Here is a 27,205-nt window from a genome sequence, read left to right on the forward strand (position 1 = left end):
TCACTAAACTATGTATGCTGAGCATAGTGGCTTATGCCTGTAATCCTAGGATTTTGGGAGGCCAAGGCAAGAGGATCACTTGAGGCCAGGAGTCTGAGAGCAGCCTGGACAACATGGTAATACCTTGTTTCTACAAAAATAAAAATAAAAAATACATTAGCTGGGCATGGTGGTGCATACCTGTAGTCCAAGCTACTTGGGAGGCTGAGGTGGAAGGATCACTTGAGCTCAAGAGGTTGAGGCTACAGTGATCCATGACTCTGCCACTGCACTCCAGCCTGGGCGACAGAGTGAGACCTCATCTCAAAAACAAAACAAAGCAAAAACCTATGTCGTGTTGTGGATTTAGCATATTTAGCTTTTTTATCCTGCACAGCATTCAGTGTACATGCTTTTCCAAAGACTTCTGTTTTTCTCCATTCTGGAGATTTTTCAGCTATAACCTATTCAGATATTACTTATTTATATTCCTTCATTCTTTTTATCACAAACTTCTATGTGACATATGGTAGAGTCCTTTGATCTCTCCTCTACATTTCTTATCCATGCTTCATAATTTTTACCTCTTAGTCTTTCTGGGTTAATTTTTCAACTGTCTTTCAGTTCATTCTCACTGACTCTAGCCAGTTAAGAGTTATCCTACTTGCAGAAATTGTGTTGAAATTATTATATTTAATCCAATATGGAATCTGTAATTAATTCAATTTCATAACCTAATTTTGGTTCATTTGTTCCTATTTTTGTTTTAAAGTTCCTTGCTCTTTTTAACCAGGCATGGTGGCCCACACCTGTAATTCCAGTGCTTTGGGAGGCCCAGGCGGGAGAATGTCTTGAGACCAAGAGCTCAAGACCAGCCTGGGCAACATAGCAAGATCCCATTTCTTAAAAAAAAAAAAAAATTAGCATGGTGGCAGGCACCTGTAGTCCTAGCTACTTGTGGCACAGGAAGATGGCTTAAGCCTAGGAGTTCAAAGCCACTGAACTCCAGCCTTTGCAACAGTGAGAACTTATCTCAAAAAAAAAAAAAAAATGGCAGGGTGAGGTGGCTCACTCCTGCAATCCCAGCACTTTGGGAGGCTGAGGCTGGTGGATTGCTTGAGCCCAGGAGTTCAGGGCCAGCCTGGACAACATGGTGAAACCCGGTCTCTACTAAAAACACAAAAATTGGTAGGGCATGGTGGCTCACACCTGTAATCCTAGCACTTTGGGAGGCCAAGGCAGGCAGATCACTTGAGGTTAGAAGTTCAAGGCCAGCCTGGCCAACATGGCGAAACCCTGTCTCTACTAAAAATACAAAAAATTAGCCAGGCATGTTGATGAGTGTCTGTAATCCCAGCTGCTCAGGAGGCTAAGGCAGGAGAATCTCTTGAATCCGATAAGAGGAGATTGCAGTGAGCTGAGATCACGCCACTGCACTCCAGCCTGGGCAGCAGAGCGACACTTGGTCTCAAAAAAAAAAAAAGTCTTTTAAAATAAATTTGTTTTTTCAAACATCTTCAAAATACCCATTCTAAAGCCTCTGTCACACTATTCTATAAAACTAATTTTATCAAGACTAAATAAATGTTCCACTTCATGATTTTGTTAGGTGTTGCTACTAGCTAGGATGCTTTCAGTTTCAAGCAACATAAAACCTTGTCTCAATCGACTTAAACCAGAAGGAAAATTTATTATCTTACGTATCATGTTCCCAAGTAGGAAATCTCTAGAATAAATTAATTCACTTGCTCAATAACATTATCAGAATTTGCTCTTTTTCTTTTGTGTTTCTGCCATACTAAACATGCCAGATTTGGCCATGGCAAGCTCTCCTTATGGTTACAAAATGACTAAGCAGTTCCAGATGTCCCATGCAGACCAAGTAATATCCACCAGAACAAGAGAAGCCACTTCCTACTGGCATTTTTTTAATCAGTGAAAAAAAAATTTCTCCAAAGTTCCTCAGAAGATACATAATAAGTAAATATTGGATCAAATATATTCTTTAATAAATCACTAAAAAGGATTCAGATAAGCACGTTTGGTTTAGCTAAATGCACAGCTATATAGAGAAGAGTGGATTACCCAAACAAAAATCAATTCTGTTAGAAAGCGAGAAGGGAGAGCTAAACAACAAAATCTGTTTGCCTTGGCTATCTTTGCATTAGATTCCTTCATTTTGATTTGCACGGTCATATTACTAGAAAAGTGTTATGTTTAAGGCTTGTCACTTTTATTCTCTTACTCCCACTCTGTTTTCACCCCTCCCCACCTAAAGGTTTTAAATTGCTTCAGTCTGCCCCATCTACAAGCTCCGAGTCAGTTATCATGATACAATTATGTGTAACATTTTATAATAATTATATTAAAATTATTGAAACCAGTAAACTAACACTGATATAATAGTATTAACTAAACTGTAGACCCTATTCAAATTTCACCACTTTTTCCAGTATTGTTCTTTTTCAGTTAAAGGAACTTATGTAGGATCCCACCTTACAAGTAATTATTAATTCTTTTTAGTCTCCTCCAATTTGAGTTTATCGGGCTTTCCTTGTATTTCATAACTTTGACACATTTCAAGAGTACTGGCAAGTTATTTCATAGGATAAACTTCATTCACATTTGTCTGACATTTTCTCATGATTAGAATGAGGTTAATGCATTTTTGGCAATAATACTACAGAAACAATGTTGTGTCTTTCTAATTACATCATATCAAGATATTTTGATTATTGAGACATCTGATTACCTGTGATATTAACCTTGACCACGTGATTAAGGTGGTGTCTGCTGGGTTTCTCCACTATAAAGGTACTATATTTCCCTGTGTAAGTAAGAAATACAAAATACAATTTTAGATGATGCAAAGATCCTATTTCATTCTGAATTTTCACCCACTAATTTTAGCACACTTCAGAAGACGCTAAATTATTGCTGTGTGTCTACAAAATTATTACTAGGGTATTTGCCTAAAGACAACTTTTCTTCTATGTTTATTAGTTGTAATACTTCTATAAGGAAGATTTATTCATTCTCTCCCATTTGATTGTAATTTTCTATCACTATGGACTTGAATATTTATTTTATTCAGTGTATTAAAATCAAAACTATCTCCTTATAACATATCCGATAAAAAATTTAATTCAAAATAGTTCACATACACGAACATAAAAGTTAAAACTATGGGCCAGATGCAGTGGCTCATGCCTGTAAGCCCAGCACTTTGAGAGGCTGAGGCGGGTGGATCACCTGAGGTCAGGAGTTCGACACCAGCCTGGCCAATATGGTGAAACCCCATCTCTACTAAAAATACAAAAAATTAGCCGGGCATGGTGGCAGATGCCTGTAATCCCAGCTACTTGGGAGACTGAGGTGGGAGAATCACTTGAACCTGAGAGGCAGAGGTTACAGTGAGCGGAGATCATGCCACTGCACTCCAGCCTGGGTGCGACAGAGCAAGACTCCATCTAAAAAAAAAAAAAAAAAAAAGCTAAAACTGTGAAACTTCTGGGAGAAAATGTTGTGCATTGGTTTGGCAAAAAGTTTTTAGATACGGCACCAAAAACACAATCTATGAAAGAAACCATTAATAAATACAATGCCATTAAAATTTCAAATTTTTGTGCTTCAAGATGCCATTAAGAAAATAAAAACAGACAAGACACAGACTGGGAGAAACTATTTGTAAACATACATTTAAGAAAGGACTTATATTCAGAATACAAAAAAACTCTTAAAACTCAATAAGAGTACCCACTTTAAACATGGGCAAAAGAATTCCATTTGATACACTTTTTCCCATCCCTTTATGTTTACCCTTTCTGAATCATCTTGTCTTGGCGTATCTCCTGTATAGTGCATTTGGGTTTTGCTTTGTGAGTCAGGCAGATTCTCAGTTATAAACAATACGCTTGGTCTCACCTCTATATTAAGAAAGTCAGTCCTCACTGGGACAACCTATGCATTGCTTCCATCCACTCTCCCTTCTCAGTCTCAACCTCTGGCAACCACTGATATTTTTCCCACCTCCATAGTTTTGCCTTTTCCAGAATTCATATAGTTAGAATCATATAGTATATAGCATTTTCAGACTGGCTTCTCCAACTGAGTAACTGGCATTATGGTTCTTCCATGTCTTTTCATAGCTTCATCGCTCCAAATATTTTTGCAAAATATTATTCCATTGTACGAATGTACCTCATTTTGTTTATCCATTTATTTACTGAAGAATGTCGGTGTTCCTTCCAATTTTTGGCAATTACAAATAATGCTGCTATAAAAATTCATATGCAGGATTTTGTACGGACATATTTTCAACGCATTTGGGTCAATACCTAGGAGTGTAATGCTAGATCATATAAAGGCATGCTTTATTTTAATGAGTTTCCCTTTACAGACAGATATTGTCTGTTGTACAAATGGAAGGTTTTTGGTAACCCTGTGTTGAGCAAGTCTACCACTACAATATCTCCAACAGCTCATGCTCACTTTGTGTCTCTCTGTAACATTTTGATAATTTTCACATTTCAAAACTTTTCATTATTATTATGTCTGTTATGTTGATGTGTAATCACAGATCAGTGTAATTGTTTGGAGGAATCAAGAACTACATCTATATAAAACAGCAAACTTAAATAATAAATGTTGTGTGTATTTTGACTGTTCCACCAACCAGCTGTTCCCTTGTCTCCCTCTCCTTAAGCCTCCATAGTCCCTGAGATACAATATTGAAATAGGCCAATTAATAACCTACAACGACCTCTAAGTGTTCAGATGAAAGAAGAATCGCATATTTCTCACTTTAAATCAACAGCTGAAAAAGAATTAATCTTTGTGAAAAAGTCATGTCAAAAGTCAAAATAGGACAAAAGCTGGGAGTCTGGCACCAATAGTTACCCAAGTAGTGAATATAAAGAAAAAGTCTTGAAAAAAATTAAAAGTCCTGCTCTAGCAAACATATGAATGGTAAGAAAGTGAAACAGCCTTATTGCTGATCAATGGAGAAAGTTTTAGATTTCCAGATAGAAGATCAGACTAGCCTGCTATGGTTTGAATGATTGTCTCCTCCAAAAACCATGTTGAAATTTAATCCACAAAATGTGGCAGTATTGACAGGCAGGGAGTTTAAGAGGTGATTGGGTCACGAGGACTGTGCTCTAATGAATGAAAAATGGCGTCCGGGCACGGTGGCTAACGCCTGTAATCCCAGCACTTTGGGAGGCCGAGAAGGGCAGATCACCTGAGGTCAGGAGTTCAAGACCAGCCTGGCTAACATGGTGAGACCCCGTTTCTACCAAAAATACAAACAATTAGGCAGGCATGGTGGTGCACGCCTGTAATCCCAGCTACTCGGGAGGCTGAGGCAGGAGAATTGCTTGAACCCAGGAGATAGAGGTTGCAGTGAGCCGAGATTGTGCCACTGCACTCCAGCTTGGACAACAAGAGCGAAACTCCATCTCAAAAAAAAAAAAAGAAAGAAAGAAAAATGGTTTACGCAATTCATTAATTAATGGAGTATTGGGTTATCATGGGAATGGGACTGGTGGCTTTATAAGAAGAGGAAGAGAGATATTCCTCTCAGACCCTTCACCATGTGATGTCCTGTGCCACTCAGGGATTCTTCAGAGTCACCAGCAGCAAGAGGGCCCCATAAGATGCAGCTTCTCAACCTTGGACTTCCTGGCTCAGTAACTGTAGAAAGAAATTCCTCTTCTTTATAAATTACCCAGTTTTAGTTATTCTGTTATAAGCAACAGAAAATGGACTAAGACACAACCACAACATTCCTCTAAGCCAAAGCCTAATCCACAAGGCCTTAACTCTTTTAATTCTATGAAGGTTGAGAGAGGTGAGGAAGCTGCAAAAGAAAAGTGTGAAGCTAGCAGAGGTTGGTTCATGAGGTTTAAGGAAAGAAGCCATCTCCATAACATAAAAGCGCAAGGGGAAGCAATAAGTGCTGAGGCAGAAGCTGCACCAAGTTATCCGGAAGATCTAGCTAAGATATTGATGAAAGTGGCTATGCTAAACAGCAAATTTTCAAGGTAGACAAAACAGCCTTCTATTGGAAGAAGATGCCATCTAAGGACTCTCATAGCTAGAGAAGTCAATGCCTGGCTTCAAAGTTTCAAAGGACAGAAAGACTGTCTTGCTAAGGGCTAATGCAGCTGGTGACCTTAAGTTAAAACCAGTGCTCGTGTACCATTCCAGCAATCCTAGGGCCCTTAAGAATTATACTAAAATCTACTCTGCCTGTGCTCTGGTACCAGTCCATGGCCTGTTAGGAACCAGGTCACACCACAGGAGGTGAGCAGCAGGTGAGTGAGCATTATGGCCTGAGCTCCGCCTCCTGTCAGATCAGCAGCATTAGATTCTTACAGGAGCACAAACCCTTTTGTGAACTGCTCATGTGAGGGATCTAGGTTGCATGCTCCTTATGAGAAGCTAATGCCTCATCATCTTAGGTAGAACAGGTTCATCCCAAAACCATCCCCCCAGCCCCACTCTGGGTCCATGGAAAAATTGTCTTCTACAAAACTGGTCCCTGGTGACAAAAAGATCAGAGATGGCTGCTCTGATGGATTTGGATTTTCAAGTACATTGAAAACCTTCTGGAAATTATTCGCCACTCTAGATGCCATTAAGAACATGTGCAATTCATGGGAGGAGGTCAAAATATCAACATTAACAGGAGTGTGCAAGAGGTTGGTTCTAAACTTCATGGATGACTCTGAGGGGTTCAAGTAACCACACATGTGGTAGAAATATCAAGAGAACTAGAGGTGGACCCTGAAGATGTGACTGAATTGCTACAATCTCATGATACAACTTGAACAGATGAGGAGTTAATTCCCATGGATGAGCAAAAAATGGTTTCTTGAGATGGAATCTACTTCCAGTGAAGATACAGTGAACATGGTTGAAATGACAAGAAAAGATTTAGAATATTACATAAACATTGTTGATATGGCAGTGGCAGGGTTTGAGAGGAGTGACTCTTATTTTGAAAGTTCTACTGTGGGTAGAAACCTATCAAACAGCATCTTACCATGCTACTGAGAAATCTTTTTGTGAAAGTAAGAGTCAATCGATGTGGCAAACTTCACTGACTTATTTTAAGAAATGGCCACAGCCACCCGAACCTCCAACAACCACTACCCCAATCAGTCAGCAGCCATTAACACTGACAAGACCTTCCACCAGCAAAAAATTACTAGGTGAAGGCTGATTAGGCATCTCAGCACTTTTTAGCAATAAGGTTTGTTTTAAATAATGTATGCACATTTTTAGAAATAATGCTATGTATAGTTACTAGACTACAGTATAGTATAAACAAAACTTTTACATGTACGGGGAAATCAAACAATTTGTGTGACTCACTTGTAGTATTTGTTTTATTGCAGTTGTCTGGAACCAAACCCACAGTATCTTCAAGGTATGCCTGTATTAGGGCTATATTTAGCTTTGTAAAAAACCGTCAAACCGTAACACTAAGTGGCTATGTTCCTGTTGCTCCACATCCTCATCAGCCTTTGGTATTATATTTTAATTTTAGCCATTGTGGTAGGCACATAGTGATATCTCATTATTTAAATTTGGAATTCTCTAATGACATACGATGTTGAACAACTTTTTCATGCTTATTTGCTATCTATATATCTTCTTTTGTGAGGTGCCTGCTCAGATCTTTTACCTACTTTTTAATTGGTTTTTCTTATTGTTGACTTTTAAAGAGTTCATTGTATATTTTGGATACAAATCCTTTATCAGATATATTTTGCAAAGTTTTTATCCCAGATTGTGGCATATTTTTTCATTTTAACAGTGTCCTTCACAGAGCGGTTTTTAATTTTAATAAAGTCCAACTAATTTTTTTCTTTCATGAATCATGCTTTTGGTGTTGTAGCTAAAAAGTCATCGCCAAAGTCAGTGTCAGTCCTCTAACTTTGTTCTTCTTAAATATCTTAGCAGCTATTCTGGGTCGTTCCCTCATTAACTATAAAATTTTGTCAATATCCACAAGTACCTTGCTGGGATTTTTATTGAGATTTCAATGAATCCGTAAAGTTAGGAAGACGTAACACCTTAAAAATATTTAGTCTTCCTACCCATGAATATGGAATATTATTCTACTTATTTCTATCTTCAATTTCTTTCATGAGACTTTTGTAGTTTTCCATATAGATCTTGTACAAAGTTAATTTTGTTTCCTTCCTTCTTTCTTCTCTCTCTCTCTACTCTCTTTTGGTGCTAATGTAAATGTTTTAAATTTCTAATTCCAAATGTTCATCCCTGGTATATCTAAGAAAGTAATTCAATGTGTATGAACCATACATTCTCTGTAAACTTGCTATATTCAGGTTTTAGTTTCAAATTATTTTTTGTTGAGACATAGGAATTTTGTCTTATTGCATTAGCAAGAACTTCCAGTGCAACATTAAATAGGAATGATGCGATCTACTTGCCTTGTTTCTGTTCTTCAAGGGAAAGCATCTGATGTCCCACCATTAAGTATGTTGTTAGCTGTAGGTTTTTTGTAGATATTCTTTATGAAGTTGAGGGTTTTCTTATATTCCTAGCTGGCTGAGAGGTTTGTTTTTAATCACAAATAGATGTTGGCTTTTTTTGTCAAACGGCTTTTCTGCATGTATTGATATGATCATGACCTTACTCCTTTAGTGTGATAATGTAATGGACTGTATGAACTGATTTGTTGAACCAGCCTTGCATACCTGAAATAAATGCCACCTGACTGTGGTGTATAGTTTTTTGTTATATATTGTTATATTAGATTTGCTAATATTCTGTTGAGAATTTTTACAGCTATGTTCATGAGAGATACTAGTCTGTAGTTGTCCTTTCTTGTAACATCTTTACCTAATTTTGTTATCAGGGTAATGCTGGCCTCACATAATCTTTTTTTTTTTTTTTTTTTTTTTTTTTTTTTAGTTTTTTTTAGTTTTTTTTGAGACGTAGTCTCACTTTGTCACCCAGGCTGGAGTGCAGTGGTGCAGTCTCAGCTCACTGCAACCTCCCCATCCCAGGGTTCAAGTGATTCTTTTGCCTCAGCCTCCCGAGTAGCTGGGATTACAGGCGCGTGCCACCACGCCTGGCTAATTTTTTAGTATTTTTAGTAGAGACGGGGTTTCACCATATTGGTCAGGCTAGTCTCAAACTCCTGGCCTCGTGATCCGCCCACCTCAGCCTCCCAAAGTGCTGGGATTACAGGCGTGAGCCATCGTGCTCAGCCTCACAGAGTGTGTTAAAGCATTTCCTCTGCTTCTATTTTCTAGAACAGACTGTACAAAATTGGCATCACTTGACAAAATTGGCATCACTTTCTCTTTGAATGGTAGAATTCACTAGTGAAGCCATCTGAGACCAGTGCTTTGTTTTGGAAGCTCATAATTGATTCAATTTATTTTATAAGTTTATGCAAGGCAGTTATTTCTCCTTGTGTGAGTTTTGGTAGGTTGCGTCTTTCACAAAATTGGTCCATTTCATCTGTTATCAAATTTGTACACTCAAGAGTTGCTCATATCATTCCTTTATTATCCTTCTAATGTCCTAATGTTCACAAGAAGAGTAATAATGGCACCTCTTTTCATTTCTGATTTTAGTAATTTTTGTTTTTTCTTTTGTTATGGTAAAAGTTTTATAAATTTTAACTTTTCATTGAATTTCATTTGTTTCACTGAATTTCTCTATTGTTTTTGTTTCAATTTTATTGATTTCTACTCTATTTCTTCTGCTTACTTTGGATTTAATTTGCTTTTTCTAATTTCCTAAAGTAGATGCTTATTGATTTTAGATCTTTAACATTTTCCAATATATGCACTCAATACTATAAATTACCCTCTAGCCACTGCTTTTGCTGCATCTCAAAAAAATTTTTTTTTTTTTTTTTGAGACGGAGTCTTGCTCTGTCGCCCAAGCTGGAGTGCAGTGGCACAATCTCAGCTCACTGCAAGCTCCGCCTCCCGGGTTCAGGCCATCCTCCGCCTCAGCCTCCCAAGTAGCTGGGACTACAGGTGCCTGCCATCACGCCCGGCTAATTTTTTATATTTTAGTAGAGACGGGGTTTCACCACGTTAGCCAGGATGGTCTCGATCTCCTGACCTCGTGATCCACCCGACTCGGCCTCCCAACAAGTGCTGGGATTACAGGCATGAACCACCGCTTCCAGCCGCATCTCACAAATTTTGATAACTTGTAGTTTCATTTATTTAGTTCAAAATATATTTTCTCGAGACTTCTTTGACCTATGTGTTTAGAAGTGTGTTCCTTAATCTACAAGTATTTTGGGATTTTCCAGGTATTTTCATTACTTATTTCTAGTTTAATTCCTTTGTAGTCAAAGACATAGCTTCTATGGTGTCTTTTTTGAAAAGAATAAGTTAATTACCCTTTTATCACCATATATTGCCTCTCATTTTCCTTGTTCTGAAGTCAGCTTTGTATGAAATTAATATAGCTACTCCAGCTTTCTTTTGATGAGTATAGTTTCATATGTTAGTCTATCTAGGCTACCCTAACAAAACACCATACACTAGGTGACTTAAGCAACAGAAATTTTCATTTTCTCAAATTTCTGAAGACGAAGTCTGGGATCAGGGTGTCAGCATAGTCAATTTCTGGGGAAGGCTCTCTCATTTGTAGACAGCTACCTTCTAGTTGTATCTTCACATGGCAAAGAGAGCAAGCTTTCTGTGTCCCTTCTTATAAGGGCACTAACCTTATGTTAGTCAGGGTGCCACCTAACCTTAATATCTTCCAAGATCCTGTCTCCAAACACTATCGCACTGGGGGTTAGGGCTTCAACATATAAATCTGGGGAAGAGGGGAACATGAACATTCAGTCCATAACAAATGATGTATCTTTCTCCATCTCTGTATTTAAAGTGGATTTCTTGTTTAGTCGTTTTTTAATGCACTGTGGCAGTATCTGTGTATTTAGACAACTCACATTTAAACTGATTGATATAAATTACTATATTTGTTAATGTTTTCTATTAATCGATCTTTTGTTCTTGTCTTCCACTTTTCTGCCTTCTCTAAGTTTAATCCAGCATCTTGTACAATTCCATTGTCTCTGCTCTCTTACCAGGATTAAACAGATACGAACAATCCACCATCATGTGAATTGGCTCTCTGATTATTGCAAAACAAGATTCATTAAAATGGATGATCTTCTGGACACAGTCAAATGATGGAAGAGAATAATCATAACGTAACATGAAAAATAATAGCATGTATCAAATAGTGGTTACCCCAAGGCAGAGAGGACCTGGATAGGAAATATCAAACGAAATTTCAGTTTTATCTGTAGTATCTGCATTTTTTGTATAATCAAAAATAAGTTAAAAATTTTACATCTCTACATGCTAAAAAAAAAGCAAGATTCCATCAAAACAAAGTTGTAGGATAAACAATAAACTAGGGAAAGTATTAAGAATATTAAAAATAAGCTATTAGCAACTTTTCACTTACTAATTTTTGAGTCAACATGTCATAAAATGCAATAAAGTATTTGATACACTCCATTTAGCAACTGGAAGCATATTGACATACCCCATATAAACTTTTAGAAGAATACAGTCTATTGGTAGGCATTGCAAGCATAAGGATTACTTTTTTTTTTTCTTTTGAGACGGAGTTTTGCTCGTCACCCAGGCTGGAGTGCAGTGGCGCAATCTTGGCTCACTGCAACTTCTACCTCCCAGGTTCAAGCGATTCCCCTGCCTCAGCCTTCAAGTAGCTGGGATTACAGGTGTGCACCACCACACCCAGCTAATTTTTGGTATTTTTAGTAAAGACAGGGTTTCACCATGTTGGCCTGGCTGGTCTCGAACTCCTGACCTCAAGTGATCCGCCCACCTCGGCCTCCCAAAGTGCTAGAATTATAGGCATGAGCCACCGTGTCTGGCTCAATTACATATTTTTAATGTTTTAATTAGCAAACACCAAAAGTGTTTTGCTAGTACTTCACGGACAACAGTACTACCTGCTCTGAAGAATTCTTGTCAGACCTACACTGCCATTTCTTCCCTCTCCAGTAACTTCAAAGAGTAAAAAGTTGCTCACTTCTTCAATATCCAACTGCAGTATTCTAGGAGGTACTTTATATATTATCCTCCCCTAAAAGAGTTACGTTCCCTAAAATATAATAGTATTTGTATTTTCTACAGAGGGATTTGGTATACTTCAAATATTTGTTTACTTTAGAAAATATGAAGTAATTAAGGTAAGCCAGAGACTTGGATAATATACAGTAGAAAGCGCTTTCAAGTAAAAAAATAAACAAATTTATCTTAGAAAACTAATGATACTAAATGGATTTAGGATTCTCTAGTTTAGCTTGTTATGTAATACTAAATGAGTCCTATATCTTAGTTTATCGGCCTTTAAAAAACATTTGCTACTTATAAAAATATCCCACATCACTAATAGCTAGAGATTTTCAGAAATAATTTTATTTACAGAAAATTCACAGAGGATTAATAAAATGTCATGAATACAATTTTGTTGGTAATAATTAGCAGAATCAAGAGTAGATTAATATATAAGGTAACATGATATATTAATAATACAAACTAAAATATCAATTTTATGCTAGCTTTATCCATTAGTTTTTCATATTCCAATTTTAAACAAATCTAGAAATAAGACAGTATATATGAAACAAATTTGCTAAATATTTTTAAATTATGCCACCTCAGATATTACCTCAATTTTAAAACCATCTGTAAATTAAATGACCTTCCCATTATAATTTCTAAATATAAAGAAGCACCAGCTGGAACTCAAAATGCATAAAAGATATTGTTATATATTTTAAGAAAATATTATATTAGCAATATCATAAATCAACAAAGAATCCAAAGAATATTGCATGAGGTAAGGTACATTAAATGTTTTATGCCTAGAATATTATCTACCTGCATTCTTATCCATATAGTTTAAAACACTAAAGCACTCACTGAATAAGAAATGACCATTTAAAAATGAATAATAGATGGCAGCACATGCCATTTTGCAATAAAAGTAAGATGGCCTATGCGCATTAATTTGCAAATAATGTTTTTTATCCAAATAGTCCTGTGGTTCCAATATCCTTGAATGATAAGAATTTTTACTGTGTGAAAAAAGAAAACATCCTTTTACTGATGGAAAGCTTCTAATCTTATTCGGGTTGGATCTTCTGGATGTCTCAAGGCAATTCCATTACGCAGCAGCAGCTCAACATAAGGTGGCCAAAAGGAATCACTAATTTTGACATATGGATCATGTGGAACATCAAATAATCTATTTATAAGAATCTAGGAGAAAATATCATTCAAAATATACTTTACTTGGGAAAAAGTCAATATAGCTATAAGAAAGTTTTTTGTCAAAGAATATTGACCTCTTTTCTTTTTCAACAACTGTTTAATACTTTTAATCTACAAATTTGAATTTCCTTTTTGAAAGGACTATGGGTATTAGCTAATGAAAAAAGCTTTAAAGTGAATTTTTGCATCTTTAATTTAGAAAAACATTTCCTAAAAATTGGTTAGAAAGAATTTACAATCCTCCCACTTCTTTTGAGATTAATATCTTCTTTAGGATAAAGACAAAAATCTTAAAAAATTAATATTTCACAAAAAACACAAAAAGTTAAAAAGAAAGTGAGCAAGTGTGTCTTAATATTTGAAGGAAAAATAACTGGTCCTGTCCCCCACAAAACACCTATTCTTCTGATAAATCTTTGCAAGAGTCAATTTTATCATCATCACTTCCTTCAGCTTCATCCTGAGTATCCCTGATCTTCGTTAAGGATATTGTGGAATTAAAACCACAAATTGAGTTTTGAGTATTTGTATTAAATTATATAGGCTAGCATTTTCCAAACTGCATTCCATAGAATTAGTCTCCTAAAGATGTTCTTAGTTCCTGAAAAACAAGGTTCTGTGATCAAACAAGCTTGGGAAAGCTAGCTAATGTGGATTGAGAATCAGCTGTCTTTCCCAAATGCACTGCTATTATAAAAGTTTTTTCAAGAAACAAATAGTTACAATTGTTTGAATACTAATGTTATGAAATACAGTGGAAAAACGCTAAATGTAGATCAATTATTATTTTGCCTCCTCAGCTATCTTCCGGTGCCTTCACAAATTACAAAAGTAGAACTCAGAAGAGTTAAGAGATTCCTCAGGGGCACATAATCAGGGGTGGATCTTGGATTAGACTCCGTATCTCTGAATTGTCAGGCCAAATTTTTAACTGAAAGATGCTATTATTTTAAGGAACATGGAAAAGAGAATGCATAATTTATACAATTACAAAGTGCCATAGAAATAAATCAAATTAATCCATCAAGCTCTAATCTCAATTAAATTTTATAATAATACCTTAGTTCTTGAAATAACATTTTCAACTATCATTAATTATTTCAAGTCCCACATTCTGCAGGAAAAAAGCTTTGGCCTCATTTCTTTTGAGTATCATAATATAGAATTAAATATTATTTGTATTTTAGAGCAATGGCTTATTTTAGTACAAACAGCTTATTTTAGTACAAATCTTTCCTATTTTGCATTTCTAATTTTAATCATATTGTTTTATTTTTAACCTAACTGCAGTTTTAAGATTAGTTCCTTTATCACTGACAATATGAGCCTTGGAGACAAACTTAGGATTCTAATGCTAAGTTTTATATGCTGATATAGTTTAGGTGTGTCCCCTACCAAATCTCATATTGAAATGTAATCCCCAATGTTGGAGGTGGAGCCTGGTGGGAGGTGATTGGATCATCAGGGTGAATTTCTCATGAATGCTTTAGCAAATCCCCTTGGTGCTGTCCTCATGATAGTGAGTTCTCGCAAGATCCGGCTGCTTAAAAGTGTGTGTGGTACCTTTCCCCCTCCCTCTTGCTCCCACTCTGGCCATGTAAAGTGTCTGCTGCTGCTTCACCTTCTGCTATGAGTAAAAGCTCCCTTAGGCCTCCCTAGAAGCTGAGCAGATGCTAGTGTCATGTTTATACAGCCTGCAAACCATGAGCCAATTAAACTCCTTTTCCTTATAAATTATACAGTCTTAGGTATTTCTTTACAGCAACACAAGAATGGCCTAACACAGATGGTACATACTATGTTACACTATTAAAAAATTATACATGTAATACCTTTCAGTATTTCCATGACTGACAATTTTTATTAAAAAAAAAGGTTAAGTCATCCATGAGAAACTACAGTCATCTTAGTTTCAGCATAAACTAGAGTAGCTAGAAATATGTTAAAATATTCTAATTACGAATCTAATAAATATTTGTATTTTGCTTTTCAAAGCAATAATACTCTGTATTAAATCCTGAGGAACCAAAACTTGTCAGCTGGGCAAAAAGAGACTTTAACACCTAGTTCATTAAGTTAAATGAAACGCGTTTTCTGAAATCACTCTTTCTTCAAAATATACCAATGATTTTAAAAGGGGGTACACTAATTGGTAAATACCCTGTTCTTCATAAATTATTTCATTTTCCTTTCTGCCCAATTTACCATGAATTGTCATATCAAGATCTTCCAAAGTATTTAATGTAACTGATAATATGGTTGAGGTTCAAAAACATTTTTGAAAAGGTCAAAGGTATTTATAAAACAAGGTATATGTCAAATCAGAGAAAGTTGGAAAACTCAGTACTTACACTGTAAGAAAAGAGACTGATGTTATTTTTTAAAAATTGTACAATTTCTACAACTTTGTGGAAAGAATCTTTAAGTTCATTACGTATTTTATATAGAGTACAGAGCTACCAATTAAACAGTCAATGTAACAGCATAGAATTTTACTCTGTAAATACTAGATAACATCATTAAAAAAATTTTTTCACCCTGTCAGCTCATGCCTAGATAAAAATTTTACCTGTAATAAATCTTGGGAACATGATTAAGAGATAGACCTTAAATTCACATTATTTTAAAAATAACAATATTCCTCTCAGTACTGTACAGGGAACAGAAACTAATTTTATACCAAAGATATATTATTACAAATATATTTAATAAAGATTGATGCATACTTTAAGAATTAAAGCAGTATTTTTTGTTTTTCAAGTCTGAGTATAATTGTTCACAAATGACTAAGACAGCTTCAAGACAAAACAAACTACACAAAACACTTACCTCTAACATTTCATGCAGTGTTATCAGGTTTACAGATGATTCTTGAATGTTTTTCTTCAAGAGAAATGTGAATAACAAACAATTACCACTTCACTTCTGCCAATGGTGAAATATTGGACTGTTTTTATAAGACTTTTATTTCTGAGACAGAGTTTCATTCTTGGCGCCCAGGCTGGAGTGCAATGGCGCAATCTCGGTTCACTGCAACCTCCGCCTCCCGGATTCAAGTGGTTCTCTTGCCTCAGCCTCCCGAGTAGCTGTGATTACAGGCTCCCACCACCATGCCTGGCTAATTTTTGTATTTTTAGTAGATATGAGGTTTCACCCTGTTGGCCAGGCTGGTCTCGAGCTCCTGACCCTCAGGTGATCTGCCCACATCGGCCTCCCAAAGTGCTTTGATTACAGGAGTGAGCCACCGCGTTTGGCCAAGACTTTTAAAATTAATATTTCTTAGTTGTAATGGTACAAAGTAACTAAAATCAAATATTTGTAATTAAGTGACAAAAAATTCTGAAAGTAAACGTTGTATTTAAGTCAGATTCATAAAAATGCAGTTGAAATATCTTCTAAGACAGTGAAAACTCTTATAGTAACTGGAAGATACAATTAAAACTATCCATAAGCATATAATAGATATACACATTATATATAATCACATAAAAAAATTAGTATTTAAATCCCCCAATAAAAACTCCCCAAATGACATTCCAGAGTACATTTATGCAGTTTCAGTATAGGAAACTTGCTCTTATGAGAGACTTAATCATCTTTCTATAGCTCTTGACAGTTTGTCATGTTAGCTCAACTCATTAGTTGTTTCTTCCTTGGAACGACGAGAATAAATCTCATTCCAATTCTACCCAAGAGTTCCTCAAATATTTGAAGACTGCTATTATAAGGCTCAAATCTTCTCTTTTTCAAAATACTAATCACCATTTGTTTCTTCAATTATTTTTCTTTTTCTTTTTTTTGGAGACAGGGTCTCACTCTGTCACCCAGGCTGGAGTGCAGTGGTGCCATCATAGCCCACTGCAGCCTCAACTTCCTGGGCTCAAACTATCTTCCCACCTCAGCCTCCCGAGTAGCTGGGACTATAAGCACATGCCACAGTAATGTTTTTGTTTATTTGTTTGTTTTGTAGAGGCAGGGTCTTGCTACGTTGTCCAAGCTGGTCTCAAATTTTTGGCTTCAAGTGATCCTCCCACCTCAGTCTCCTAAAGTGCGGGATTACAGGTGTGAGCCACCATACCCCACCTCAATTACTTTTCATATGGCATAAATTTGAGGCTTCTCAATACCATGATTATTCTCCGAATGTGCTCTAATTTGTCTTTTGTTTTCCTTCATCCAGTCTCCCACAATGATCTAGGTGTGATTTGACTACCAAAGACAAAAAAAGAACACCCACTTTCATAATTACGGAGACTGGAATTCTATTCATTAAATTTAAGATGGTATTAGCTTTTAGACAGCTATTTTTTCCTTGTGGACTTCTGAGAATACTATCATCTAAAATGCCAAAGTATTTTTCATATATCTAGCTAAAAATGTCTTCCTTATTCTGTAATGTAATGTATTCTGTATGTATGTAATGTATTCTGTACATATGTAAATACATATTCTATGTATTTCTATTTAAACATCATCCTATTTTATTTGTCTTAGTTCCTAACTAGCTAAGAAATAGTCTTCAATCTGTCATCCAACATATTTACTATCTAGCCCTCTTACTTTCACATCATTTGTAAACTTTGATAGCCACATATTCTATCTCTTTAAGTTATTGTTAAAAATGTTCAACAGGACAGACTCTAAAGGAAACTGCTAGAAAGTTCCAAGATCATACTAATCCTAATCAGAAGGTTTTGAATTCAGACATTCAATTAATTATAAAGTTGCCTACTACGGTGACAACTATTACTTTCCTGATACCAGTCAGAGATTACCATGGAATTCTTATAAAGCCTTGCAGAAATACAAATATATTAAACAAATAGTAAAATAACACTAACAAAATATGTATGATTCCTAAATCAAGAGAGCCGAGCAGGCTCTGAAAATCTAATACCTTAGTAAAGGAAAAAGAGTGGTATAAATGAGCATACGATTAGTGGTGAAGACAGCACAATTATAGTATTGATTAATAAATGAGAAGCAAGATACAGGTTAAATTATAAAGACTTGAGACAAACGAAATGCAGAAGAAAAATATAAAAGAAAATTTCTATGAAACAAATGTGAATTAAAACTGCCCAGAAAAATAACATATCTTTTTCAAAGGAAAACTGATATTGAATAACCAACATTGTGAAATATTCTTATGTTATTGGTTCAAATATAAAGAACTCTCCAGATATAGTCAGAAGCAACAAGTCATCCATAGACTGGCCTCAGAATTCTCTATACCACATTCCATCTTAAAAGACAGGGAGCAATACCTAACAGAACTTGAGATTTAAAAAAAAAAGTGCTTAAAATATCCTTTTAGTGTAAAGACAAAGTATTTACACCATCCAAGAATCCAAAGACTAAACACCCAGGAATTCTTGAACAAATTACTTGTCAAAGAAACTCATCAAACCAAGCGAAGGATTAAACTTAACAACTCTTGGAGGCTTGGCCCGGGCACGGTGGCTCATGCCTGTAATCCTAGCACTTTGCGAGGCCAAGGCGGGCAGATCACCAGCTCAGGAGATCGAGACCATCCTGGCTTACACGGTGAAACCCCGTCTCTACTAAAAGCATACAAAAAAAAAAAAAATTAGCCAGGCATGGTTGCAGGCGCCTGTACTCCCAGCTACTCGGGAGGCTGAGGCAGCAGAATCGTGTGAACCCGGGAGGTGGAGCTTACAGTGAGCCAGGATCACGCCACTGCACTCCAGCGTGGGCAACAAAGCGAGACTCCAACTCAAAAAAAAAACAAACAAAAACTCTGGGAGGCTGAGTCGGGCGGATCATAAGGTCAGGAGGTCGAGACCATCCTGGCTAACACAGTGAAACCCCGTCTCTACTAAAAATACCAAAAAAAAAAAAACCCCCCCACACAAAAAAACAAATTAACTGGGCATGGTGGAACACACCTGTAGTCCCAAGCTACTCAGGAGGCTGAGGCAGGAGAATCGCTTGAACCCAGGAGGCAGAGGTTGCAGTGAGACGAGATCATGCCACTGCATTCCAGCCTGGGTGACACAGGGAGACTCCATCTCAAAAAAAAAAAAAGATAATGAGCACTGACTCCAATACAATGTAGAATGAAGGCTAAATATAAATGGCGTTTTCTGAATAAAATATAAATAAAATAGAAGTTCTGAATAAAATATAACCTGCCAAAGTAAAAATAACACAAAATAGAAATAAGGGTATAGGAAAAAGAATGTTAATTTTCTTATCTTTTACAGCAGAGTCAATAACTGCCTAGAATTGAGATATGAAGTTAAACAAACTGTAATTAAATTTTCCATGTTTTTCATGATTCACTTGTTTCCTTTATATTGAAAGGATCTCTCCAGAACTAAAATCATTTGATGCAAAGAAATATTTATCCGAGTTCAACTGTTCAACTTCACTCATTCTTTTTCTTCTCTCAAAATTAAGTAAAATTAGGCCAGGCATAGTGGTGCACACCTGTAATCCCAGCACTTTGGGAGGCTGAGGTGGGTGGATCACCTGAGGTCAGGAGATCGAGACCAGCCTGGCCAATATGGTAAAATTCCATCTCTACTAAAAAACAAAGATAGAAAACTTAGCCAGCATAGCAGTGCGCACATGTAATCCCAGCTACTCAGGAGGCTGAGGCAGGAGAATCACTTGAACCCAGGAGGTGGAGGTTATAGTGAGCTGAAATCTCAGCTACTGTACTCCAGCCTGGGTAACAGAACAAGATTCCATCTCAAAAAAAAAAAAGTAAAATTACATTTATTTTATTATTAGCATTTACAAAATTACATTGATCCAGCCATCCATCAATCCATCTATTTATGGTTCTATATGTATATGTGCTTAGCAAGATGTCTCAAATGACATTCACCTAACATTAATTGTGATGTTCACTTAATGGTAATGATCTGATGGAGGGAGTTTTGTTGTTTTTAGCTTTCTTCTTTGTATACATCTTTGAGTTATAAAGTCCAGTGTTGTGGACTGAACGATGTCTCCCCAAAATTTATATGTGGAAGCCCTAATGTGACTATGTTTTTAAAAATAAAGTCTTAAATAACGTAATAAAGGATAAACGAGGTCATAAGAATCGGGCCCTAATCCAATATGAATGGTTTCCTCATAAAAAGAGGAAAAGACACTTGAGAATTCTTTCTTTCCTTGTGTACACAAAGAGCCCAATGTGAGAACACAGTGAGCAAGTGGTCACCTACAAGCCAGGAAGAGAGACCAGAAACCAACCCGACAGTACCTTCCTTTCGTCTTGAACTTCTAGCCTCTACACTGTGAAACTTTTGTTTAAACCACCCAGTCTGTGGTATTTTGTTATCACAGCCCAAGTAGACTAATAAATACAGTATTGTTGGGGAGAGAGAAAGAAACACACAGAGAAAGAAACAGAGAGACAAGAATTACTTTGTAACATGTATCAATAGTCCTTATACATCATAAAAAAAGAAGTGAGGTTATCAAATCTGACTTAATGACCCGATAATGGCTCATGGTAATCAAGCTTCCTTTTCAGGATGCCTCAAACCTCTGGTTCTATTAGTGGAGCAACAGCAACAAAAAAATGTTGAAAAAAATTTGAAAAAAATGGAGGAGACTGGGACCAGAAAATAAATCAGTGAGTTGTTGCAAGATTAAGGTCATAAAGAGGCAAGGAATCATGACTTTAATGAAATGGCCAACAGGAGGCTGTCATACTTTTACAAATAAATAAGAGGTAAAAAACAATAATAGAATGGAAGACACAGCCCATAACAAATGTAAAGCCTATAGACAATTATAAATAAGGGAAGAATAAAAAGAACACAGATAGTAAAAACAAAAACAAACAGAACTTTTTCTCCTTTTCCTAGTATATTCACATCCATTCAATAAATATGAACTGAGAAGGTTCTATATAAAAGATATGCAAGATAGAAGAGATACAAAGATGAATTAAACACACCGAGTAGCTCACAGGGCATGGGGATAAAGGGAGAGATAGACATAAATAACACTAACAAAATCATTTGAAAAGTGTTACTAAAAGGACACCTAGAGCCAGATTCAGTAGCTCACATCTGTAGTCCCAGCTGTGTGGAGGCTGAGGCGGGAGGATAGCTTCAACCCAGGAGTTCAAGTCTAACCTGGGCAACATAGCAAGACCTCGTCTCTAAAAAACTCAATCAATAGGTCAGGTGTGGTGGTTCACACCTGTAATCCCAGCACTTTGGGAGGCTGAGGTGGGCGGATCAACTGAGGTCAGGAGTTCGAGACCAGCCTGGCCAACACGGTGAAACCCTGTCTACTAGAAATACAAAAAAATTAACTGGGTGCGGTGGCACGCGTTTGTAGTCCCATCTACTCAGGAGGCTGGGACAGGAGAATCTATCACTTGAACCTGGGAGGCAGAGGTTGCAGTGAGCGGAGATCATGCCATTGCACTCCAGCCTGGGTGACAGAGCAAAACTCGGTCCCCAAAAATAAAAATAAATAAAAAATAAAAATAAATCAATAAAAGAACACCTAAATTTCATAATATGTTTCACTCAAAAGATGCTTGAACTGTCTTAAGTAGGAATCTGCTACCCTCACCAGATCGGAAGGGTTTTAACCTAGGCAGAAAAAATAGAATGTATAAGGCACAAAAAAGTGAGAGGTCAATTGGTGACATAGCTGAATGGATTCATGTAAAAGATGGATGAATGCTTGGAGATGAGGCTGAAGAGATAGAAGTCCATAGTATAAATCCTAATGAAGAGATTTCTAAGGAGTTTACAGACTTCATTCCCTAGGGAGACATGAAAGATTTTATGCTGAAAATGATTAAACATATTATTATTCAATGATTACTGCAATTTCAAAAGTCTTATTAACACCATATATATATATATATATATATATATATATATATATATATATATATATATATATATGAACTGTTCACAATCTTCTGCCACTCAATAAAATATTTATTTGCTTTTTCAGAAAAGGTTTATTTCATTATAGCTACTATTAAAATAGTCAATAACTTACATTAATCTGTAACAAATTTTAAACATCATTCTTTTGATTTAAAAAGTTGTACATACTCATCACAGAAAATTGAAAAAATTGTGAAAAGCAAAAAACCACCCACAATCCTAGCTGTCAGACATAAGCACTATCAATTTTTAAACATAAATTAGATTCAAACAATTTAATCATCAGTGTTTTATTCATTCAACAATAAGTTGTATTTCATTAACTTCTTTGAAGGTGTTCAATACATTATATGAAAAGCTAACTTACTCCCATCATATGGATATAACATAAGAAATATACTCTGGCTGGGCGCAGTGGCTCACACCTGTAATCCTAGCATCTAATCGTCCCACTTGGGAGGCCGAGGTGGGCAGATTGCCTGAGCTCAGGAGTTCAAGACCAGCCTGGGCAACTTGGTGACATCCCCTCTCTACTACAAATACAAAAAATCAGCTGGGCATGGTGGCACACACCTGTAGTCCCAGCTACTCTGAAGGCTAAGGCACAAGAATCACTTGAACCCAGGAGGCAGAGGTTGAAGTGAGCTGAGATCACGCCACTGAACTACAGCCTGGGTGACAGAGAGAGACTCTGTCCCCCCGCCCCCCTGCCCCCAAAAATATACATATACTTAATCCCATTTTATTGAATAATTAGGTTGCTTCTAGTCTTTCAATAAGTATAATGTGATAATGGCATATTTCCATACATGTGCATACCTTTGAACTAAATAAGAAAATATGCTTCTAAACCCACCTAAAATAATTTCAAATATGATAATTTACATAAATGTCTTCTCTAAAACTTACCTTTTTCTTTTTAACACTTCTATCAGGCAGAGGAAAATGGTCTTCTAGAAACTCGCCCAAGGTACTCAAGAGTTTCTCCTTATATTCTTTTATATTAAGCATTTTAGTTTTCAGTTCATTAAAGATTCTAATAGATTAAAAAAATTAAGAGAAACATTTAACTGATAAAACACATACACACATGTAACTAGTTATTCATGAAGTTGATCAAAAACTTTGTTAAAACTTCATTTGCTCAAACCAAATAACTACCTTTTTGAAAATCATATTGTCTATATAACAAGTAGAGAAACCAAAGGTACAGTCAAGTCAAGTCACCCATAAAAGATCATATAATAGCTAATAGTTAACAAAAGTTAGGGCAAGACTCCTGATTCCTGGTAACATTTAACTTCATCTATGTTTCATGTAACACAAAAAATAAAATACTTTTCCTATTTTAAAAACCTAGAACATAAAATTAATACCTTGATTCAGAAAATGTTTCAACCTTATTTTTCAATTCACTGTGTAGTACATTAAGAGATTCCATTATCTGTTGCTGTTCATCCAACCACCGTTGTTCCCTTTCGACATGGAAAAACAATACAAGCAATATCTAAATAAAACTTTAAATGTCACTTAATATATATGAATGATTAATAGTAATTGTAACATAAACAAACCTTTCTAAGTCTTCCTTTAACTTTTCATTCTTTGACTCCTTAGTGGACAGTACCATTTCAAGATCTTGTCTCAGCTTTTGGAACTAGAATAAAATAATTCAAATTAATTGCTTGGTCTTTAATCCCAGTTTTATTTCTGAACGATAGTCAAATTTACACAGTGGTCCAGGATACTTCCATTCAGACATCAGTAGTGAAAAAGCCTAGCAGAAAGCATTTGAAAAGGTAAATATACAGTAGGCGCTAAATTTGTGGTAATATTCTATGGTTAAATTAAAAAATACAAGAGGTTTTGAGCAGTAAATTTTAATATCATATTGAAAGGCAAAATAATGGTGTGTTTTCAGTAATAAGAGAGTAGGTACCTTTTCTTTCTTTCTTTTTTTTTTTTGAGACAGTCTCACTCTGTCACCCAGGCTGGAGGGCAGTGGTGCCATCTCAGCTCACTGCAAGCTCCGCCTCCCGGGTTCACGCCATTCTCCTGCCCCAGCCCCTGAGTAGCTGGGACTACAGGTGCCCGCCACCATGCCAGGCTAATTTTTTGTGTTTTTAGTAGAGATAGGGTTTCACCATGTTAGCCAGGATGGTCTCGATGTCCTGACCTTGTGATCCACCCGCCTCGGCCTCCCAAAGTGCTGGGATTACAGGCGTGAGCCACCGTGCCCGGCCCAGGTACCTTTTCTTTTATTTTTTATTTTTATTTTTTGAGACAGAGTCTTGCTTTGTCGCCCAGGCTGGAGTGCAGTGGCATGAACTCGGCTCACTGCAACCTCTGCCTCCCGGGTTCAAGTGATTCTCCTGCCTCAGCCTCCCGAGTAGCTGGGAATACAGGCACGTGCCACCACGCCCAGCTAATTTTTGTATTTTTAGTAGAGACGGGGTTTCACCATATTGGCCAGGCTGGTCTAGACCTCCTGACTTCATGATCCACCCGCCTCAGCCTCCCAAAGTGCTAGGATTACAGGTGTGAGCCACCACGCCCGGCCCCAGGTACCTTTACTGAGGAGACTGTACAAAACGGACACAAATGACTCACTCATTCAATATTTATTCAATCAATTATTCAATCAAATTTGTTGATCAATCATTGACTATTAGGCACTGCTGAAGGAGGGATAGATGTAAAGCTGAACAGAACAAAGAGGGGAATCCAGACGTTTACTCCAGCAATGGTCAAGTGTCATAAAGAAAAAAAAAATCAAAATAAAAGTAAAGGTATGAAGAGCAAGAAATAGATGTTTTAGGTAGTATGATATGGAAAGACTTCTCTGATCAGGTAACATTTAAATAACAGAGAAAGAAGACAAAGGAAAACATTATGTTACTCTCTAGCAAAAGAATGTTCCAGGGAAAGGGAATAGTAAGTACAAAGGCCAAGGGGCAGAAGTATGCTTGAGGGATTTCAGGAACAACAAAGAAGACTAAAGAGAATTACAATAAGCACTAGTGTTCCATTCTCCTGATCACAAGGGTTTCTATTAGCTTTTTCTAAATATAAATCAGTGATAAGTTAAACATGTATATTACAAACCCTAAAGTAACTATGAAAACAAAGAAAATAAATAACTAATAAGCCAATACTGATAATTAGAGACCAGCCTGGGCAACATGGTGAAACCCTGTCTCTATAAATAAATACAAAAATTAGCCAGGCATGGTGCCACATGCCTGTAGTCCCAGCTACTTGGAAGGCTGAGGCAGGAGGATCACTTGAGGCCAGGAGGCGGAGGCTGCAGTAAGCTGAGATCATACCACTGCATGCCAGCCTGGGTAACAAGGCAAGACCCTGCCTCAACAACAACAAAGACAACAACAACAACACACACAATCCAAGAAAGTGGGAAAAGAAGAAAACAGGAACAGAAAAACAGGATGAAAAGAAAGATAAATCAAGGCCAAGCCTGGTGACTCATTCCTGTAATTCTACCACTTTAGGAGGCTAAGGTGAAAGGGTTGTTTGAGGCCAGGAGTTCAAGGCTGCAGTGAGCTATGATATCAACACTGCACCCAGCCTGGGCAACGGAGCAAGATCCTCTGCTCCCAACCCTCCCTCCCCCAGAAAAATATAAATCAATAACATAGCTTTCAATGCAATCATATTGATTATATTAAATATGGTCTAACAATGGCATTAAATTGAAAAATAGAAAGGTATGTAGAAATCTTTGCAACTATTTGGATACCAAAAACATACATCTAAATAATCAATGGGTCAAAGAAGCAACCAATATGAAAATAGGAAATTATTATAACTGAATAGAAATAAAAACATTAACATCAAAATTTGTCTTTTTTTTTTTTTCATCCCCCAAACAATTGACATGCAACATCAAGATTTCTGGGATGAAGCAAAAGCAGTAATCAGATGAGAATTCAGAGCACTAAAAATCTATTTTTTTTTTTTTTGAGACGGAATCTCGCTCTGTCGTTAGGCTGGAGTGCAGTGGCACTATCTCGGCTCACTGCAACCTCTGCCTCCCGGGTTCAAGTGATTCTCCTGCTTCAGCCTCCCGAGTAGCTGGGACTACAGGTGCATGCCACCATACCCAACTAATTTTTGTATTTTTAGTAGAGATGGGGTTTCACCATGTTGGCCAGGATGGTCTCGATCTCCTGACCTCGTGATCTGCCCGCCTCAGCCTCCCAAAGTGCTGGGATTACAGGCGTGAGCCACTGCGCCCGGCCTAAAAGCCTATTTTAAAAGAAAAGAAAGCTCTCAAATTAATAACCTCAGCTTCTATCATAAGAAATATGAAAAAGAGCAAATAAAACCCACAGTAAGTTGAGGAAATAATAATAACAACAAAGAAGTTAAATCAGTACAAAATAAAAAAATAAAAATAAGGGAAAAGCAATGAAAATTGGTTTTTTGAGAAGGTCAATAAAATTAGATTAATTATGGGGTGGAGAGAAGGACATAAATCACCAATATCAGGAATGAGAGAGGTGACATCACTACAAACATTAAAATGATAATGGAGAAATGTTATCGACAATCTTGTCACTAAATTTGACAAATCAGATGAATAAATTCTTTGAGAGACATAAACTACCAAAGCTCATTTAGACAAATAAGAAATATGACTGGCTCCAGAGAAATAGAATTTGTAATTACAAATTTTCACAGATGAAAATTTTTTTCATCTCTAAATTTTTATTCAGTTTATGAGAAAATTTTAGGCCCAGATGGTTTCTTCTGTGACTTCAAACAAATACTTCAGGAATAAAAAATTACTATTCTATACAAACTCTTTTGAAGAGGAGAGAATACTTCCTAATTTGTTCTGAGGCTGGTATTAACCTTATATCAAAGCCTAACAAAGACATCACAAAAAAGAAAACCACAGACCAATATTCCTCATGAACACAGAAGCAAAAATCTCATAAAATTTCAGCAATTTAAATTCAGCAATAAATAAGAAAG

The 27,205-nt window shown here is 36.5% G+C and overlaps 1 protein-coding gene across 33 annotated transcripts in view; it reads right to left on the reverse strand.

Annotated features, from left to right (window-relative positions):
- Window positions 1-27,205, reverse strand: part of CENPK (centromere protein K) — a 67,545-nt gene that overhangs the window by 9,712 nt on the left and 30,628 nt on the right. For 17 of the 33 annotated variants that reach the window (XM_017009695.2, NM_001349367.2, NM_001267038.2 and 14 more), the window contains 5 exons: window positions 23,782-23,864; window positions 23,584-23,682; window positions 23,117-23,243; window positions 16,140-16,193; window positions 12,431-13,298 (listed from right to left, as the gene is read on the reverse strand). In XM_017009695.2, coding sequence (XP_016865184.1) covers window positions 13,140-13,298; window positions 16,140-16,193; window positions 23,117-23,243; window positions 23,584-23,682; window positions 23,782-23,864 — 522 coding nt within the window. In that variant the 3' untranslated portion in view covers window positions 12,431-13,139. Of the gene's footprint in view, window positions 1-1,890; window positions 2,807-10,956; window positions 11,267-12,430; window positions 13,299-16,139; window positions 16,194-23,116; window positions 23,244-23,583; window positions 23,683-23,781; window positions 23,865-27,205 lie in introns of those variants that run through there. The other 16 variants (XR_007058619.1, XR_007058618.1, XR_001742177.2 and 13 more) reach the window with 6 other exon arrangements.

This window comes from Homo sapiens, chromosome 5 (assembly GCF_000001405.40).
Source record: "Homo sapiens chromosome 5, GRCh38.p14 Primary Assembly".
Lineage (NCBI taxonomy): Eukaryota > Metazoa > Chordata > Mammalia > Primates > Hominidae > Homo > Homo sapiens.